The 21,560-nt window shown below is 40.5% G+C and overlaps 1 protein-coding gene and 1 non-coding gene across 17 annotated transcripts in view; both read right to left on the reverse strand.

The window, feature by feature from the left end:
* KLF7 (KLF transcription factor 7) overlaps window positions 1-21,560 on the reverse strand; it is a 99,715-nt gene that overhangs the window by 18,675 nt on the left and 59,480 nt on the right. The window contains exons 3-5 of one of the 16 annotated variants that reach the window (XR_923051.3): window positions 21,286-21,379; window positions 16,720-16,771; window positions 15,346-15,869 (exon numbers count right to left, since the gene is read on the reverse strand). The exons of 13 other annotated variants lie outside the window; for them this stretch is intronic. Coding sequence is in view for 2 of the 3 variants with exons in the window: in XM_011512075.3 (XP_011510377.1) it covers window positions 21,303-21,379 (77 nt within the window). In the remaining variant the exon portion in view is untranslated. Of the gene's footprint in view, window positions 1-15,345; window positions 15,870-16,501; window positions 16,772-17,505; window positions 21,380-21,560 lie in introns of those variants that run through there. 2 more of the 16 variants (XM_011512075.3, XM_047446150.1) reach the window with 2 other exon arrangements.
* Window positions 17,176-17,262, reverse strand: MIR2355 (microRNA 2355). Its single transcript, NR_036227.1, has one exon. It is a non-coding gene; the product is annotated as a microRNA 2355 (primary transcript).

The raw sequence follows: 21,560 nt of genomic DNA on the forward strand, positions 1-21,560 counted from the left end.
TGTTCTATTAGGATATTATAAAATATATATTCAATAGACCAATTAAAAATGAGAATAAATTAAATATAAATAGAAGTCATACATATTTCTTCTTGCCTTCAAAAAGACTGTGTTGCACAACCCTACTTCTGGCCACTGCCCTGTAGGATAAATAAAAATAGCTTTGCTCTCAGCCCCACCATCTCACTGGTCTTAGGCCTTCCATTCATGGCTCCTACAGTCTATTCTACTTATAACAGTCAAAGCAATCCTTTGAAAATGTAAATCAGAGCATAAGTGACTCTTACAGGGGGCCTTAGTCTATATATTTCCATATAAATGGTCTCTTTGACATCCACTGGATTTTATGCATTTAAAAACATTATTCTGCAAAGGGTTCCACAGGTTTTGCCAGACTGCCAAAGACATTCACCCAAAAAAAGGTTAAGATGAAATTAAAGTGTAAAAGTTCCAATGGTTTTCTATCGTTCTCAGAAAAAAAGTCAAAAGCCAGGCAAGGCTCTACAGTACAGCCTGCATGATCTGGCTCCTGGCTACCTCTCCAATATCATCTCCTACGCTCCCCTCCCCGATTCACCACATTGCTGCCCTGCCTGCAGGCTCCCACCTCGAGGCCTTTGCACTGGCTCCTCGCTCTGCCTGGAACACTCTTGCTCCCTCACTTCATTCCGGTCTCTGCCTGAATGTCTCCTCCTCTTAGAGAACTTCCTTCACTATCCTCTGTAAAACAGCAGATTCTGTCACTTTCTCCATAGCACTTAATTACTTTGAAATGCAGTTGCACATTGTTTGAGTGTATTATAGTCTGTTTCCCTCACCAGAGCATAAGCTTCATGCAGACATCCATTTTGTTCACTGTGATACCAACAGCACTAAAGCAGTGCTTGGCTCAATCCCGTCCGATACATTAGGTGAATTTAACAAAGCATCCTGATTTGCAACAAAAACCTGAATACACCTAGAGGGGCAGAACAGCCTGTGTGATTTCCAGTCCCTCACTTTCTAGGTATTAAACTGGTTTACGAGGGGAAATGTTTGCTTGGTTGCTTAAATCTGATATCCTTCTTTGACAAGGACTAAAATGTGGTAAGTTTTCCTTTACCATTAAATATCACTTCTACTTCTTCCCTATCTTCCACAGCCTAAAAGACGAGGATCCTGAAAACTTCCTGTAACTTAATCTCACACATAGGAACCTATCCTCCTGAGCAATATCCCCTCTGGGAAGCAAAGTGCGTCATTTTATGAAACTCATTTGTAATGTTTATCTCTGAAGATGTATTTGAGACAGCATAAGTGATATGTCAAATGTACTGTGCTATAAATTTGCCTTTAAGATAGAGAGTGTAGCATAAAATATGAACACGTGGCAGAATCTTGCACTCAAGGTTTAAAATCTGTTGAAAATAAACTCACTAATACAAATGTTCTGCATTCATTTCCTGATCTGCAAAATTTCAAATTCTTAATGCAAGTTCTAAAGAGATTAGGATTTTGACCTGCCTAGATTTCTGTTAAGACTAATTTTACCTGTTTCCTTTTATTTATTTATTTTTTTAATGTGGTTCTAGACATTTAGGTATGTCAAGGTCCTAGTCTCTTGAGGACTTGGATTAAGAATTTGGAAACTCTGCAGATCAGGAAATGGAAAAGAAAACTGGAAAAGAGGAATACTTTGCAATGAGTTAATACTGCTGCCTAATACATCTCGAAGAAATCAGCAAAGACCCATCAATTGCTTTCACATCACACTCAGTCGCACTAGAGAATTTAAGCAAGCTGGAGAATAAAGACATTGTAGAGAAAGTGTCACTAAGCTTTCTCAGCAATGGAAACAGAGTAACCGGTGAATTTCACTCCATAGCTTGTCAATGTCTTCTCAACCTGTAGGTGATGCAACTAAAAAATACCTATGCTAAGTCACTGTATCTGCTTTGGAAAATTGTCTCAGAGCCCCTCTTAGATTCCAGCTGGGTCTTAAATATTTTTTTTCAAGGTTTTTTGCGTATCTGATTGATGGAAAATAAAAATTCTTTTATAGAATTCCCAAAACATTTATAATAACTACTACATAAATTAAAATGTACTCATTGATGATCCATGTGGCTTTTTCATTCATCCATTACTTGCTTACTCAAACGAGGTCCAAGTACCTGAGTTTACACAGTGCACCAGTCACTTTACAGAGCATGCAAACATTTGCCCTATTTGTTTTTATTCTTTTTTTTTTTTTTTTTTTTTTTTTCTGAGACGGAGTCTCGCTCTGTTGCCCAGGCTGGAGTGCAGTGGCGCGATCTCGGCTCACTGCAAGCTCCGCCTCCTGGGTTCACGCCATTCTCCTGCCTCAGCCTCCCAAGTACCGAGTAGCTGGGACTACAGGCTCCAGCCACCACGTCCAGCTAATTTTTTTGTAATTTTAGTGGAGACAGGGTTTCACCGTGGTAGCCAGGATGGTCTTGATCTCCTGACCTCGTGATCCGCCCGCCTCGGCCTCCCAAAGTGCTGGGATTACAGGCGTGAGCCACCACGCCCGGCCTGTTTTTGTTCTTAAAACAACTAAAAAACAATAACTGGTCCTGGGTTAGGTTTACTCCTCACCACCTTAAAATGTTTGTTCAAAAATCTGTAATCCAAAATTTAAACCATATCCTCAATGAGGTACAGCTCCTACTTCAGAATACGGAGAGAGGTGAGAAAAGATTTTGACTGAATACTGCAACTGCTGACAACAATTGTGTTTGTGTTCAATATAGTAGCCAGTAGCCACACATAGCAACGAGCGCTTGAAATGTTGCTGAGGTAACTAAAAAACTGAACTTTTAATTTAACCTTGATTAAAATTCAGATTAAAAAATTGAAGCAGTGTAAAAATATTTCACACTCTTATTTTGGTAGAACTGCATTTAACTTTCACCATTGAAAATTTAGCATGAGATACCCTGGAAACATACAATACACACTGGATCTCAAGGAATTAGTATTAAAAAAGAATGTAAAATATTTCTCACTAATAACTGTTTAAATATTGATTTTATGTTGAAATGATTATATTTTAGATATATTAATTTAGGTAAAACATATTAAAATTAATTTTACCTTTTATTTAACTTTTTTAAAAATGAGATTACTAGAAAATTTAAAGTTACATATGTGGTTTGCATATATTTCTATTTTGGACAGCACTGGCTTAAAATATATTTTCTACGTAGAAACCCCATCGACTCAAGCTTAAAAGCTCATCCTTCCCGTATTTTTCTCCATGTCCAGCCCATAGCCTAGAATCCCAGTGTTCCCATTTTTACATTCCAACCCGTGGTAGAAGCACTCTCCCAGGCTCAAAATCTTAGAGTTATTTTTAACTGTGAGAAAGCTAGGGGAGGAAGGACTCAGTAAACAAGTCCAAGTACTCCACCTTTGTGGAATCTCTCCTCCCCACCCCTGGCTTTTATTCTCATTACTACCAACCTTGTCGTGTACAAGACCCTGAATGCTTCACCAAATGCAACCAACAGCAGCCCTTCTCTGTTTCGAGGGATCTCCTCCCTGTTGCTGCATCGCATCAGGATCACCTGAGGCACTTATTAAAAATGCAGATTCCGAGTTCCCATCTCAGACCTTGCGTATCAGAATCTGTTTTTAGCATCTCTGTTTATGGGTTCAGGAATCTGAAGAAATGACATTTAAGCTGAGATACGAAGGAGGAGTTAACCAGGTGCAGTGGGAAGAAAGCTCTGCAGATTTAAAAAGCAGCACATACCAAGGCCCTGGGAGCAGAAGCAGCTTGGTGCTTTTCAGAAACAGTCATAAAACCAAAAGGCTCAAAGAAGCCTTCTTCTCTGATCCCCACCCCACCCCCAAACTTAATAGAACGTTTGGAGCCTCTCTCACTGGCCAGGATGTGAATTTTGTGAGGGCAGGGGCCACATTTGACTTGTTCGCCACTTTATCCACAGTGGCTAGCACAAACGTTATACACAGTAGATGCTCAGATAATACACTTATTTACATATAGGACCCATAAAAGTGCCATTAAGAAACACAAAATAATATTTCTCTTTAAATTGTTCTCATCCCCTATATCCATCTCTCTTTCCATAAGCAGTCCTCTAGCAACAGTGGTTCTCAAACTTATTAGAATTCCCTAAAGGGCTTGTTTAAAACACAGGTTAGTGAACCCCACCCTGAGAAGTTCTGATTCAGTAGGTCTGATTCACAAGGGGAGGGCCCAAGAATCTGCATTTCTAACAAATTCCCAGCTGATGCTGATGCTGCTGCTCCAGAGACCATACCTCAAGAACCATTGCTGTAGTGGGGAAATAAAATGAACTCAGCATCAAAAAATAGATTATTCTAGTTCTGGCTCTGCCACATAATAGCAATGTGGCCTTGTAAAGGTATTTAATAACTTCTTTGGGGACTTATGGCTCTTAACTGTGTGGGGAAGGAATTAAAAAAAAAAAACTGTCCCACTTCCCTATACTCATGAAGATTCGATGGAACCTAGTACCTGAAAGTGACTGGTCAGTTACAAAGTCCCAAATGAATAAAAAGTGTTATTAACGGTGTTTGTTATTAAAGTTGCTATTCATAGTGGTGATATCAACAGGGAGTTTACAGACACACAGGAAGCCAGAGAGAGATGTGGAAACAGAGAACTTTGTCACCTGTATGTCCAGGGCAAAGGCACAGGGCTTCTCTATAAGACTCAAACTGGAGCCCAGCCTGCCCCGTGGAGCACAGCCATGGAAATACACGGGACTAAAGAAATCCTTTGGGGTCATGTGCCATTTTTAACAACTGTTAACTTTTTCTAAAATGTTTCTTTTGAGACAAAGTGTTAGATTCTTGGTGAATTTGTTTGAAATGTTGGAGGAAGACTGTGTTGGTCATGAAAATTACTTACCAACCCAGATGCTGAAACAAATTTAGCTGTTGAAAATTAAAGAATTTTTGTAATGTGTAATTTGTTATTCCAATACATGTGTTTTCAAATACTGTACCATGTTTCTCATAACCCAAGGAATGCCATAAAATTATTTTTTATTTAATTAAAAATGTATGCAGTCTTCTAGTAGTTTCTAGTGGGCTGAGTGAGGTTTAGCCAACAAACACCACTGCTCCCCACCACCCCGACACAAGGCAAAACAAAAACTCATAACTGTTTAGGTATTACTATAATTTTCAAAAGACTGTAAACTCACTTAAGAATTTAGACCTCAACAACACTTATACCTGAAGCTGTATGTTCTCAAGTTTTGAAACAGGTAAGCATGATCATTTGGGGAAACTATATTTATTATTTTTTTTAAGCAACAAGTTTAATTTGCTTGCCTTTTTTGTCCATTTTACTTTGTTTTTGTTCTTTTTGTTTTTCAAGGTTAACTTCAAAAATTATTTTTATCAGCTTTTTTGGAGTTAAATCCAAATAAAACTTAATGTCATCTTGGAAATTTAAATATATTTTGGTGATTACCAGTTACAATAAAGTTAAAAGCTAGGTATATACTAAATTTGAAGAAAAATGTTATTAAAACATTAATCTTTCCCTTTCAAGATGACAACTACACCAAGTGAATCTGTTTGAAACTCATTTGTAGAACATTTTCTTTCCATTTAGCAGCAATGTTATCACTCTGTAAGTCAAGTTCTCACAATTCAATTTGATGTATTAAATAGAAATTTGATTATTAAAAAACGTCAATTTTAAACTCACCTTTGGTCAACCTTTGCTTTTTGTTTTCAAATGTAAAGATCACCATACAGCAGAGAACGTATACAGGAACAGACTCTTACTACAATGACCAAGCTATTATTATTATTATTATTTTCCTTAGAGACAGAGTCTCACTCTGTTGCCCAGACTGGAGTGCAGGGGTGCAATCACAACTCACTGCAACTTTGAACTCCTGAGTTCAGCCTCCCAAAGTAGCTGGGACTACAGGCTCTGGTGCCACCACACTTGGCTAATTTTTTTTTTTTTTTTTTTTTTGTAGAGACGATGCCTCCCAATGCTGCACAGGCCGGTCTTGAACTCCTGGCCTGAAGTGATCCCCCGACCTCAGCCTCCCAAAGCACTAAGATTACAGATATGAGCCACTGTGTCTATTCCCAAACTATTAATTTTTGAATCACCTTAAAAGATTTTCAGAATGAAGAGAAAAAAAATCACTTTTACTCCAAACAACACGTTCCAAGCATGGGTAATATCAAGGCATCACTCTGAAAGTGATACCACTAAATCAGAAGTATACCCTGTAGAAGTAAACCAACAGAGAAAAGGAAACTTCCCCTAAAAATGCAGTCAATTCCAGAGGTTGGCAAAAGGTGTACAACTCCTAGTGAGTATAGCCAAGGAATTCATTTTTCTTGCAAGGAGGGTGGTACTAAGAAAAAGATAATCAGAGAGCACACAGCTTTGAGGGAGGGTAGGTCTGCATGACACCCTACTGGGGAGGCTTTTGGAAAGCCTGAGGGCAGGTGAGAGGACTGTGTGTCTGTGAACCACAGAAAATGCAGAGACATGGAGGGCCAGGACAGGTGGGGAGGGGAGACTAAACTAGGCCTTATCAGATCAGGGACCCATGGTGGTCACCCATTGGTACGTATCACATTAGTTGACAATGTCTAATTTACTTTCCTGGATACACTAAATTTTGCTTTTTTGCTAACCAAAAATTTAGAAAATATACACCTAAACCATTTATTATTTGGATAAAAGTTAACTTTCTGCTACATATGCGATATATATATATATATATATATGAAAAGAGATAGATCAATGGTATTAAAAAAAAAACCATAAGAAAGGATAATCCAAAAACCACCTAAGATCTGCTTCTGGAAGCTATAAAGTAAGTGGCTTCAGCATCCTAAATTTGTTTTAATTAAGCTAATGATAACAAAAATTGATATTCCTTGATGATATAAATACAGATGGTAGAGAAGTAGCTTAAGCATATCACTAGTTCATATGGTAATTTTCTCTAAACTTAAAAAAATAAAGGCAATGTTATCAATCTTCAAGAAGCCCAAATGAGATCAGATGTGGTGGCTCACACCTGTAATCCCAGCACTTTGGGAGGCCATAGCAGGCAGATCACCTGAGCCCAGGAGTTTGAGACCAGCCCAGGCAATGTGGTAGGTCCCTGTCTCTACAAAAAATTAAAAAATTAGCTGGGCATGGTGGTGCACGCCTGTAGTCCCAGCTACTTGGGAGACTGAGGTGAGAGGATCACTTGAGCAGGGGAGGCTGAGGCTGCAGTAAGCAGTAAGCTGTGGTTGCACCACTGCACTCTAGCCTGGGTGACAGAGCGAGACCATGTCTCAAAAAAAAGAAGAGCCCAAATTAGATAATTTATATCCAGATCATGGAGAGAAGGGCCCTCCCTGGGCCAGCTACCATTCATGTTGAATAGATATTAATCCGTTTTTTAGAGCTTTTTAGAGGCAAATTTCAAATCAGTGAAGATTTAAAACATCAATATGTCTACATAATTCTCTTCCAAGATGATTAAACATTTTTTTAGAGACTAAATTTCCCCATTAGCTAAAGCAACCCAAATATGTACCTTACTCAAATATAAAGTCTAAGAGTAACCCCAAAAGAAAATTTTCATTTGTTTGTTGTTTTGACACATAATAATCTAGGATAGACGCTCTTCACATACCACTGCCTATGTACTCAGGAAAAGATGTACACAAAGCCATGTCACTTATTTTTCTACCTTATCACCCATCACTTCTTACATAACCCTCTAGTCTCCAACATCCCTAGACAGCCCCCGCTCCCCAACTCCCGCCCAAGCCTTTCTCACTCGCTGGGATGTCCCCTGCTCAGAATGTGCCTATTCTCCACATGTCACCCCATCCGCAAGGATTTCTCCTCCTCAGAAAACTATACCCTTATCTAAGTTTTCACTCTTTGGCCAGTTATTTACTATTTCCTGTAGATATTTATCTTTTTATGCCTTGATCCCTTGCCCTGCTTCTCCCCACACACATTAAATGAAAAGTGCTTTTAAAACAAGGACACCTTATACCCCCAGTGGAATAAATGCTGATTAAATATCTAGTGTATGTCCAGGCACTGGGCTAGATGCTTTCTCATTGGCCTCTTTGTAATCACGCACAAAGTCTAGCACAGGCTCAGACACACTGTAACATGCACTGAATACAATGTTTGCTAACTGAGACATCAGACCATCAAAATCCAACAGCACGAAAAGTTTTGTTACCACCTTACCTTCCAGATTCATAAACCCTAACATGCATTATCTCCGAAACACTTCATCTCTGTCCATGGGTAAACAGGAAAAGTCAAATGCTTAGACTTCTGGTCTAACTCACCGGCAATGAAAGAAATAGTCTCTTCAGTGTGACAAGTTAGATTCAACCAGCATTAATTGTTGGTTCAAATATATGCCAACCAATGACACTGCTAGAGATTAAAGCTAAATGGAAAGGCTCTTCACGTTAGAGCTCAGCTCCCAGTTAGGAAAGCACCATGCATACATACAAAGAACATGAGACTCAATATGTTTGATAGATGTGTGTAATGTGGACATGTGAAACAGAAAATCCCTAAGACTTGGTAAGACTATTAGAGCAGGTGTCCCAGAGATGATCAGCCCCCCTGAAACTTGAAGGACACTAAGGACAAGGGCAAGAAGTATTTCCTGGAGAAGGAACAGCATGCACAAAGGCCCAGAGATAAGAGACAGTGGTTTATCATCCTGAGGTCAAGGGTAAGTATGTGAGGAGGACCCTTAAGAATGGACTGAAGAGGTGGTAATGCCAAACCCTGAGGAACCTTGATGACAAACTATCCCCTCAAGAGACTGACTCCCTTGAGGCCAGACCCCACATCTGTGCATAGTTGTGTCCTCAGGGCCTGGCACAATGTGTGGTCCTAGTACTTCCAAAGCATGTCCTGTGGGAAGTGGCTCTAGATGGACTCTGATAGAGTTGGGCACTCCTTTCTTCTGCTCGCCTAACTTCCTCTAGAAGAGACTATCATATTGTTTGAGTAAATTGTTTACATTCTATGTAGCTCCACAAAACCAAATGGTCCCTTTAAGGGCAGAGGCCAGGCTTATTCACCTTAGTATTCCCAAGACTTAGAATGCTGGACACATGTCAAAGACCCTCAATTAACCTGGCTGAATGAACATACCCATATACTATTGGTCCATCTCCATACCTTCCTTTAAGCAGTTACCTAGATCTTCCTACATCTTCTTTCTGCTGCTCCCTAATAGGAATCATTGGGAAGAAAACACAATGACTGAAACCACCCGTGAAAGCTACATTCACATTCACACACACACACACACACACACACACACACACCCTGCCCTCCCCCCCAATCTGCAAACAACTCAGCACAAACATATTGACACCCACATATGTAGAAACACCCCCACACAATCTGTCATCCTATATACCTCTAACCTCAAACAGCCTTAATTTTTGTCTGTACTGAACTCACAGCTACAAAATAATTTCTCTTCATTCTTCTACTGAAGAATGAAGGCATTCTGGGAGGAAAATGTCAATGTAATGTGACTTTATACTTTGGAAGGGGGAAAAAGAGGTGCAAGAAATATTAAGATGCAGTTAATTTGACTCCATATGCTTTTGTGCTTAAGTTATTAATTTCCCAGTCACTTCATATTACTCCAGTAATGTAATGTTCTCATGAAATGCAAAATGTAAATTATGTTTCCATTCAGAACTTAAGCCATTCCACAGAAACCTAGTTTTCATGCAATTATTTTGATCTTGCAATATGCCACAAACTACAATGTACTAGGATGTTACCCTTACCATTTCATACATTTAGAATTTCAGAACTCAAGTTTTCTGTTAAAATGTCTGCATTAAAGGCTTTTTAAAAAGAATTATTAAGACTAAAAGCATAGCAGCAACCGCCAGTTGTCCTCTATATTCATTCTCCCCTTATCCCTAGGTAAGAGTATCCCTTGGTTTTTGTTGAGCTTATGGCCACCCAGAACAAAGACTGTATTTCCAATCTCCTTTGCAATTGCTTGTTGACATATGACCAAGTTCTGGCTGATGAGACGTAAGTGGCAGTGGCAAGTGCAATGTCAAGCTGTACTTTTATTTATTTATTTTTGAGACAGAGTCTCGCTCTGTCACCCAGGTTGGAGTGCAGTGGCGTGATCTTAGCTCACCGCAACCTCCCCTCCCTGGTTCAAGTGATTCTCCTGCCTCAGCCTCCTGAGTAGCTGGGATTACAGGTGCCCGCCACCACACCCAGCTAATTTTTGTATTTTTAGTAGAGACAGGGTTTCACTATGTTGACCAGGCTGGTCTCAAACTCCTGACCTCAGGTGATCCACCTGTCTTGGCCTCCCAAACTGCTGGGATTACAGGTGTGAGCCATCACGGCCAATCAAGCTGTACTTTTAAAGGTAGGGACATCCCCTCCCCTTTTCACTTTCGAAATATCTGCATGAAAACTAGATTCCTGGAAAGCAGGCCTGGTGGCAGCCATCTTGAATTGCAGGGACCTGAGCAATACCTCAGGAATGGAAATCCTAGGGATAGGTGACCAACAGAACAAAAGGAGTTTGGGCTTCTGACAGTTCTCAGTGCAGACTTTATATTAAAGAGAAAAAAGAAATCTTACATCTTTAAGCTCCTGTTAGCTTGGGTCTTTGTCACAAAAGCTTCATTTAGGATCTAATTAATTCAAAGCTTAACATACATGAACAAAGGAAATCTCGCTTCTTTTCTCCAGAAAGGTTGTCAGAGTTCTGGAGATGTTGCCCCATGTGTACAAGTACAGTTTACGGGAAAACAGACACACACACACAACTCACCATCAGGAGACCTGTGCTCTAGTCCTAGCTGTTACCACTTATGATGTGCCCTCAGGAAAGTTACCTACTCTTTAAGTCTCACTTTCCTCCTCTGCAAAATAGAGCTAATCCCTTCTTCAGCACAGCCCTCGCAGGATTATCGTGAAATGTGAAGAGAGATGCTTTCTGTGCAGATGCTTCATATGCTGCAAAGCACCACACAGGCAGCGTAATTATTAAAACATTTTATCCCAAAATCCTTCTTTATGCAACGTGGGTCTTATTAACACCCAGTACCTGAATATACCTTTCTGGTGAATAAAGAGCCTGCAATCACCTGATTCTAGCTAAGATGGTTAGAGATCAGTTTGAGATGTTAGGAGCAGACCACCTCCAGAGGCTGGTGTTTCATTCAACCATCAAAGACGTCAAGCCCCAACTCCTCAACTTAAATGTGGCATTGATTAGAAAGTCAAAGGGTTTTACCCAAACAGTACAAACCCAATACCACATGGAGAGAAACTGCCCAGAGCCCATATACTACTAAAATATGGTGCATATCTTACTACATCTCATATCTCATCTGCTGTGATATATGTGGCTTTTTCTATTAGATGTATGAATATACGAGTGGCAGAATCAATCTCTGATGAAATGTCTATATTTTCCTTCCTCGTGTAGATACACATATAGCAGAAAACTAAGTGTAGGGGAAAGGTACAAAATGTTATACGTAAACAAACTAGACAATACATGCATCTCTGTGGAGAAAACACCTCAAATCATCAACATCAGCCAAGACTTGTGGTCCAATTCCACCCACCTTCAATGGGTGATAGGGTTTTTTAAATCCAAGTAAAATTAGCTGTTGGCTAGTATTTACTGGGCCCTCACTATATGCTGGGCACTACAGAACCTAAGGGCTTTATGTATATTCTGTCCTCTAATTCTCTCAATAGCCCTAATGCTATTATCCCTCCCCATTTTCTAGATGAGGAAATAGAGGGTTGGAGAAATAAAGCTGTTCCCCAAGTTCACCCAACTTATATGTGGTACAGTCAAGATTGAAACTCAGGCCATCTTACCTTCAGAATTCACATGCTTAACCACTACCTCACTCTGCCTTTCATATAAGCAGCAACAATTAAAGTGGAATCAATGCTCATATTCCCTTTGGAAATATTTTCTGATAAAACAAATGTTTCAACTGGAAAGAATGTCAGAACTATTTAGATGCACCTATATAATAGCTGTTCTAACTCTTTAAAAAGGAATAAGCAAAGGAATCGAATCTACTGAGACAGGAAGCCAGGAGTGCGAACTACAACTCATCTACCCTCCCCTAGAACCCATGGTCTCATTTTCAGCTCACAGAATGGTACTACTGACTACTAGAACTTAGTGTGGGTAGAAAAATTTTTTTTCAGAGAATACCTCATATTAACAACTTTACCAGCATTTTCATTTCATTCCGTCACCTTCTCAAAAAAATCGGTGTCACTTAACAAGTTCTACATAAACCAAAAATGGAAACCCCGAAGGCCAACAGCAAAGCAAGGATTTCATTCTTAACCCGCACCTCAGTGTGAGATGAGCTGAAGCTTCATTTCTACCTGCCGCCCCTTTCTGAAGGGTAGGTACTGACTGGGCTGGAGTGAAGGAGAAACACCAGGTGATAACATCACTGTTCCTGGCATGTTCTTTATGTATCAGGCAGCCCGATGGTGCTTTACCTGTGCTATTTCACAGAAGGCTTGCAAGGTAGGTGGTGATGTTTCCATCTTAGGGAGGGGAACATGGAAGCCCAGGGATAGACACCCAGCTAATAAGTGGCTGAGATGACTTTTTAAGTCTGGGTCTGACTCCAAAGCCTGTTCTCCTGCAGCATCATGCTGGGGTTTTCTAGAAGCCAAGAAAGGGACACAGAAGCAAAAGACCCCACCCTTCTTCCATCACAGTCCATCCTATTTGCTGTGCCAGAAAGCCCTGAAGAAGGGTAGAATGTGGATGGCTCCATGTTGGGCTGTTTCCTCCAATTCATTAGCAGGGGTGAGGTCCTCTCATCCCTCTGCTACATTCTCTCCCACACCTCACCAAGAAGCTGATCAAAGAGGAGTATCAGTTTGTGTGCTCTGCAGGGACTGAGAGAACAGGCAGTGGCCAGACTGTGAAAGGACTTAAACAGACCTGCACGATCCAGTCTCCTAGACCCTAGCACAGGTGGCTACTGAGTACCCAAAATGTGAGCACTCTGAACTGAATGTGCTCTAAGTGTAAAATACGCACCAGATTTTGAAGGCTTTCCAATAGAAGAAAGAGATAAGGAAATGTAAAACAGCTCATTAATAATTGTTTATCAATTATTTACATGTTGAAATGAGAATGTTTTGGATATTTTGAGCTAAATAAAATACAGTATTAGAACTAATTAGTATGATTAATTACTTTTTAAATGTGCATGCTAGAAAATATAAAATTATATATGTGGCTCACATTACATTTCTATTGGAAAGTGGTCTTAAGAGATCATGTTCAAGAATTTGTACTTTAAGAACAATGGCAGCCATTGTGAGCTTTTAAACGGGGGCATAACATGATCAGAATTGAACTTTAAAACATTACTCTAGCTACAAAATGGAGAATGGGCTGCCAAAGGCAATGAGCCAATGTGGGGAGAGTTCTACAACTTCTACGAGGTTCTACAACTGCCAAGGAGAAAGAAGATAGTGCCTGAAACACAAATGACTCTGCTTATTGCAGCAGAGATGGAGAAAAGCAAACAAATGTAAAACATATTTAGAAAGCAGTGCCCATGAGATGAAAAAAAATTGATTGAAAGGACATCTATCACAGATGCCTCCCAGGGTTTTGCTATGAGCTGAGTGGATGGGCCATTCAGCATTCATCGTCTGGTATTTATGCATCTACGAAAAAAAATGGTCAATCAAGTATCCTAGGGTCACAACAGCCTTTCTCCATGAAGTTCCCCTGCAAGAAGCGTGAATCATACATGCTCTGGGGACTTTGGAACTCGTGCATGCTGTTCCAAAGTGCTTTCCTTCTGAAGAGCTCCCAGAAGAAGTGCCTCAAGATTTTGCCAAGTCAAGAAACACTTTGGAAAGCTGTCGGAAATGATGGTAATGGATGCTAAGACCCGGAAATAGGCTGAAAGCACAGAGAGTGGGATGGAGTGGGGTGGAAGAAGGGTGGGGTCTGCTCCACTGTCCCTTTCTTGGCCTTTTCTCTAGGAAATGCCAGCATAATGCTGCAGGGGACAGGCTTTGGAGTCAGACCCAGACTCAAAAGCCAGCTTGGTCACTTATAAGCTGGGCATGTCTACTCTTGGGATCTTCTAGGCTTCCACGTTCTCATGCCTAAGATGGGAAAATCACCACCTACCTTGTAAGGATTTCACGAAATGGCTGTTATCATTCAGGCTTTCTCTTCCACTCCAGCCACGTCAATACCTGCCCCGTAGGAAGGGATATCGGGTGTAAACAAAACTTCAGGGCATCTCACCTCTCACAGGTGAAAGCATGACAAATCTCAAGAAAGACTAGGTGGGTTGTTTTGGTGTTAACTGCACAGAGAACCAAACAGCACCCCACAGCTGCTGTGGCATCGGAGGCCTGCTCCTTCCAGGGCAAGCATTATCATGAATAATTAAAGCCAAGCTCTGCTTATCAAAATAAATGAACAAAGGACGCCTCTGACACAGCAGTTCCCCCACCCCAATCTTTTTTGTTTTAGGAGCCACTTTTTCTCAGCTACTGCTCCTACCAATCTGATGATCTTCAGCGGCATCCCTATCAATTTGGGTAAATTAGCAAGCTTCTCCTCCATATGGAGCTGCGGCCGTAAATCACAAATATGAGTGTGTGTAAAATTATATAGCATAGGCCCAGTGTAATAATAAACACATTTATATTTTATAACTGCTGTTTTCTCCACCTTCAAGCCGCATCATTGCCTGGGCCCCAGAGGTTCCTAAGCACTCCCCACCGGCTCCTGTGTGCAGCCGTCTTGCTTTGTGTGCAATTTCCTTCCCCCTCGTCACAGACCGCTATCTGCCAAATGCCAGCCGGCTCTTCTTTGTGCTGCGGTGGGCAAGGAACCATACCAGCTCACAGTTCTCTCTGCAGCAGAACACAGACACAAATGAGCAGGTGACCTCTCAAACCGTGTCAAAACGGACCCTTGACCCAGAGACCTCAAAACTTCAGTGGGTTCGCTGTCTAAATCACCCAACTAAAAAGACCTATGTTTGCACAACGTGATTGTGTTTACACAAAGATTTAACGCCTCAATAGAGCAAAAGCTGTTCAGTTAATTTTAATTATTGCTTTACTCTTCTCGCAACAGATTTTTAAAAAAATGCTTAACGGTGAGCTTGTGGTAATTGATCCCACAAGCTTTGTACCTATGGTCCTTGTAGCTCATACAATGACAGGAGTGGGAAGGATGTATGAAAAGTTTTCCCTGGCTGCAAAGGATTCTTTCTGGCTTTGCTCATTAACTATTCTTTTTGGATAAGGTGCACACCAGGAAAACCACAAAAACAAAAATAAAAACAAAAACAAAAACTTTAACATCTAACCATGAGAGGGGGGAGAAAGATACACAGGTGGATTTGAAAGCATTCTAAATGCTTAGTAGCCAATTATCAGCAAGGAAAAGGCTATTATCAAATTGGGTTGGGGGCCCCGCCAATTCTAACGACTTATTAAGATTATTTCCACGGCAGGTAGAATGAAATAAAAAGGGGAAGTTTGAAAATACAAAGATGTACAGGAACACAGGATCACACACAAAAATATCTACAGACAAACAATCCTCAAAAGAGTGGAGCCCTCAGGGGTAATGTGTGTTATTCCTTCAGCCTTCCAGGAATTTGTCTTTTGGTGTTAATACCTTTTCTTTCCTCAGATCTCTGGATATAATATAAATGCCCATCACTCTGAGGTTCCTGTAGATCCTTTTGGCAGAATGCTAGAAAGCAGCTATTCTTCTTCACTGTGTGCTTTTCTGAATTCAGAGGAGAGACTGCTGCACATAACAAGCAAAATCATAACCTGAGTTTGGGATCTTTGCCAATGAATAGATTTACAATTCCTGTATTTACCAAGGGTTTTTATTCTTACGACTTCTAACCCATTATAAATATCCTCAACTGGGCAAAAACAAAGATAAAATAAAATTATCCTGAATTCCACACTTATCATACAAACAAAAATAAAGGCACATAAATCATTTCTTCAACCTCACCTAGCAAAGCTCTGGTGTAACTGAGAGGAGCATACAACTCATACACCAAGATCCACCCATCCATAGATTCCTTTGAATTCTTTAAGGCATCTCCATTTGGGTTTTCCAGCTTAGTAATAAAGAGGATTGCTAAGATGCATTCTTTCAAGGGGTTCAGAGAAAAGTTTCTATTTGCTATTTCTCATCAAGAATTATCTAAAATATGCAAATGCAGTAGTACTGAGATACCACTTCAAGAATCAATACCTTGCGTTTGTTTGCATCTTCAAAACCAGCTTTCTTTCTTAAAATAGGGGAAAACCAACTAAGATCAAGGATTCTTAAGTTCAACCAAAATAGACAGAATGTAGGAATATACAAGATAATCACTCAGTTTTCTTAGCTATTCTGAATTAGTAGTTATACTGAACAAGTAAAATAACAACAAATAGCCATTTATTTTTCTGAACCATAAACAAAACTGAATTCATTTATATTGTTTCAACTTAGGCCCCCAAAAGAAATAACTGATCTCTAAAGGAAAAACAGAGTAGGGCAGGCTCTGTGATGGTTCAGCAGTGAAATCTTTGAAAAATGATTCTTTCAGCCTCAGTTCCCTTATTTGTACAATGGGTATAATGAGAAGACTTACCTCATCGGTAAGTGAAGGTTAAATGGAAGGATGTATGTGAAACACTTGGCAACTGTAAAGATCAATACAAGTGATATTATTATTGCTTACTTGGGTAATGCACTAACATAGAAGCAGCCATTCCCAGGCTTGGTACCCAATTGCCTTCTTACTCCCAAAGCTGATCTGAGTAGGAACGCCTCAGCTTACCCTTTCTTTAGCACATCTGCTCTGGGAAGCTGACTAAGTAACCCACTGCATCTTCAGGCCATCAAGATAATATTACTAATTCCCTACTGGATCTAAAACTAAGGTCCGATAACAACTGTGATCCAAAACATGGCACTTAGCATGACCCCACAAGGCCAGCTCACTAATGGCAATCTCTTCAAGTGGCAAGGGATAAGCTAATACATGTAAAAGCCACAGATGTCACGTGCTCCCTACAGCCACATTCACATGTATGAGAGGAATAAAGTCAGCAGTATTATCTCCAAACAGCAAGGACAATGCCATACGATTATAATAGCATATTGTCCATTGTATCTGGGGATGACACGTCTGACAATGTTATTTTCTATGCACGTGAATGTAGCTGAAAGGGCCAATGCATAATTCACAGCTCCTGACAAAATGCAGACATAAAGTATGTGTCCATTAGATAAGGCAATTTAAATCCTTTTACCTGAAATAGCACCTTTCTCCCTAAGAACTCAGAAAGCTTCCAGTATGCTCCTCATGGTGCTGGTGCGAACCAGAACAGTGAATAGTAGGAAATGTACTGAGGCAGCAAATGCCAGCGCAATATACAGTTTTACCAATAAAAGTTTTATTTTCCCACGGAAAGCACGTCACTCTTATTTCTTCACTAACAGTTAATCTTCTTTTTGGTAACGAGGAAGCAACTGTTACATTTCAGCAAGGCCACTGTACCCAGGGGGAGAATGACAATACCATATGATGGTGTGGCTCTTCAGTGCGTGGTCAGCTAGGCCCATTTCCTGGCAAAGCACCTCCCTCCCACGTACCAGCCTGGCAGCTGATGTGATCAGACCTCTGCCTCAGCAAAATCTCAAATTATTACAGGTCAGGAGCCTTCTGCAAAAGGGGAGGGCATGAGGCTCAGGAAGAGTCACAATCACGAATCTTCAATCTAGAAGGTTAAGCATTTAGTGGAGGTAGGGAGATTTCTTTCTTACCATAAGGGGAAAAGCGGCACATCATCTAAATCCTGACAGAAATAATAAATAATGCAATATTTCCATTTAGTCAATATTGTTAAAGATCATAAAAGGGAAGAAGGCAAGACCTGGTGGGTAGGTCATCTTAAAAGGATTAGGAAACGTTTTGCAAGTGGATCAGAGCAACCTACAGAGAAGAAGACAGCTAAGGTTGCATTAGGCCAGGGTTTCTCAACCTTGGCACTGTTGACCCTTGGGCCCACATGATCCTTTGCTGTGGAAGTTGTCCTGGGCATTGTAGGATACTTAGCAGTATCCCTGCCCTCTACTTCCCAGATGCCAGTAGCATACCCCCAACCCCACATATGACCATGAAAAATGTCTCCAGACATTGCTAAATGTTCCCTGAGGGAAAAAATCTCCCCTGGTTGAGAACCACCACATTAGGCAACTAATGATCTCACATTTTGGGAGAGTGGCTGGACCAAAAGATTTGCTGTCACACATAATGGCCTCTTCAGACATTGACAGGATGTCCCGATACCCTCCTTGAACCATTGTGTGACTCTCCCATTCCTGCTATGCCCTTCTTAGCCTCAGAAGTTCTTAAAAGTTCAGGGAAGGCCCATCTGTGTGGAATGCTCTCCCAGTGCGCACAGGCCACATAAGGTTTTGAGCACAGGGTGTCCAGCTACAGGCTGAGAGGGGCTGAATCTGGCTCTGCTCCTCAAGCACAGGGAAGCTGCCCCACGCAAAGGGTACTTTTTCTAATTCACACAAAAGCATATTGTGGCTTAGCAGCAGCCCTGCTGGGGGACTAGCAGCCATCAGATTCGTCCTTTCCAATTCTGTCAACCGGTTTGCTTGATGTCAAAGCTAGCAGTTTTGTGTGGCCATGAGAATTAGCAAAGCAGGTTTTCAGGACTGAGGAGAACCAGGGGTTGAAGCAACTCCATGGAATACCTCCTTTCTTCATTCCCCAAAGCATGCTTGCTTGTATGCCTGCACTCTCACTATTGTTTTAAACATGGAGACATCAAAAGAAAAAAGATCTGCTCTCCAAGAAGAGTACGATGAGAGGAAGCCTCGGAAGTATGCACTGATGTTCATTTATCACTGGGTTAATAACCATGACCACCTTCAGTCTTCAAAGACCCCTGCCCTGGGTTTCCAGGGTCTTGCCAGACCACAGTGAGGCCGTATAACCACATCCAATCAACCGGTGAAGAGGGCTGGGTAAGACAAACTCCCCAGACTTCTTTGAACTTTTCAATCTGTATCCTGCTTAAGTCAAATAGGGACTATGCATAATATACTTGCAAAGTTGTTATTCTGACAGTCTGCTGTCAACAAAGATGAAATACTCAAACAAAACCACCTCCCTCTCAAAGTCAGAATATAAAACTTGTCAAGTGACAAAGGGATATTCTGACTTCTGATGGTTCTTCATAAGTAAATGGCTAATTCATTTAATGGGCAAATGCTTTTGAGTGATTAACAACTGGTCCTTTTAACAGAGATAGCAGAAATAATATTATACCCTCTCTGTAAGTTTTTCTTTGATAACAAGATTTTCTTTTGCAATTTGAGCACTACTAACGGCTAGCTGGTTTCCTTTAGACAGGTGTTAACACTGCGATCTTCTCGCGATCACCTAGCCTGGCTGGAGGCCTTCTGCCTATGCTAAGGGTACTTTAAGTAGAAATGATTCCATAAAGCCTGAATTTATCTTATGGTGGAAGGGCTTGTAGCTCAGCCTAGGCCTCCTCCTGCTTCAATTGTGATAGGGTATGGTGGATCTCATTAGTATGGGAAACCAGTAACAGCCATTAGTGTCAAATAAGAGTTGCCTTTGCTAACTATTTCTGTGCACAGTCACACAACATGCTCTGAGTTTTCTCAATAAAACAGCTCCTTCCCAGGGGAATAAAGCTGCCTCTTCAAGGGGCCCCAATTTACATACACTTTCTCAACCATTTAAAGTGAAATCTCCTTGGAGCATCACTTCACTTCTAAAGAATCTTCCTTGTCGCACTTCCAGTGAGAATTTCAATAATGATGAAACGGAAACTTCTACTTCAACAAGAGAGGACAACAATATATAAAGTAATTACCTTTTTACCTGTTTTTTAAATCACAAAATTGATTTTAGATTTTGCATCACATTTGTTCATTTGCCATGAGGAAAGCAGCTATGGTGCAAAATGTGTTATTGCCATGTAAATGCTATGTCCCAGTGAAAAGCACCAGGGCATGTGCTGTGCACATCAAAGGAATAAAACCCATAATAGGAAAGTCAAGGGTCTACAAGCCTCCCTTTACTCCTTCATAATAAAACAATCGGGAAAATCCCATAATGCGTTTAGTCCATTCTATTTCCTACTTTATACTCTGATATCAAGAAGAATGGCTACACAATAATTTGGTCCATTTAAGAAATAAGGTGGCACTATCCTTAAGATGTTAAAGATGCTGTCTTGTTATAAAGTATTTTTAATATCTGCACAAATTCTATTACTACTCATATCAAAATATAGGTATGTAATATTTTGCCAGTTTTTTTTTCCTGAAGACCAAAGCTGTCATTTGAGTTATGTCTTCAAATGTCTTGTTTCCTTTAAACTATATTTATAAAGTATGCCGAGAAAGAAAGATTTGAAGACTTTAATGTGTTTCCATAGCTAAAGGATTTAGTTGAGAAGGCAGGATGAGGGGCCGCAGGTGCCAGACATTGTGTAGAATTTGCACTTATGCTCCATTAATTGCCAGCATATCTTCCTCTCCCTTTTCCTCCCCTCCCCACTGACTAAATCCCTCTGGAAAACAGCAGAGCAGCAGGCCCAGACTGGTACCCAGCAGCAACACCAGGAGCAGAAGTAGCCAATTACCCTCCAGAATACAAAGTGGAATGGGGGGTGGGGGGGGGGGGGAAATGATGCAGTTACCTAGCAACCAGAAAGAGCAGAAACAGCTGTGTAGCAGGCCCAGGCTGGTACCCAGGAAGAAACAGGATAGCCAATTAGCACACTGTATTTAATGCTGATGTGGTTTCCTAGTAACAAGATGTACAAGTCTGTCTGTTGCATTTTCCCCCTCCCCTTCTCACATTTTCCTCAATCATGCACAGTATTACTATTTGCCCTAATTACTGTTTCTCCACTGCTTCCAGCGACCATTATTTTATCCCCAGAGAAATTGGAGGAACTCAGGAAAAATCTTCTGTAATGACAGTATTTAGTTTCAAATTCAGTTTAGTTGTAAGCCTTGAGACACTAAACAACAACAAAGAATGAAAAAAACAAAAAGCCAGCAAATTGCCCTCTGCCTAAATTTTTAAGTAGCCTATGATACCTTTTCTAAACGCTAATATTTACGTGCAAGTGAAACAAAAAAATTTAATACATACCGTCATTTTGCCACACATTACATTTTCAAATAGGGTGAATCCTCTGTGTACTTGAATTTATTCATATTGATTTTCTGACATTCTCTCCCGAACACTAGGAACATAAAATGTCTTATTACCTATATCAAGGAAGGAAGATGTATCTTTTGTTGCTCTTTTTAAAATACCAATACTAGTTTCAACAGGCTCATGACCAATTGAGAATTCAATATGAGGGATCATTATTTCCTTTCTGCAACAGAAGTTCAGTACAGGTGAAGGATGTTGCATATCCC

This window comes from Homo sapiens, chromosome 2 (genome assembly GCF_000001405.40).
Source record: "Homo sapiens chromosome 2, GRCh38.p14 Primary Assembly".
In the NCBI taxonomy this organism is placed as follows: Eukaryota; Metazoa; Chordata; class Mammalia; order Primates; family Hominidae; genus Homo; species Homo sapiens.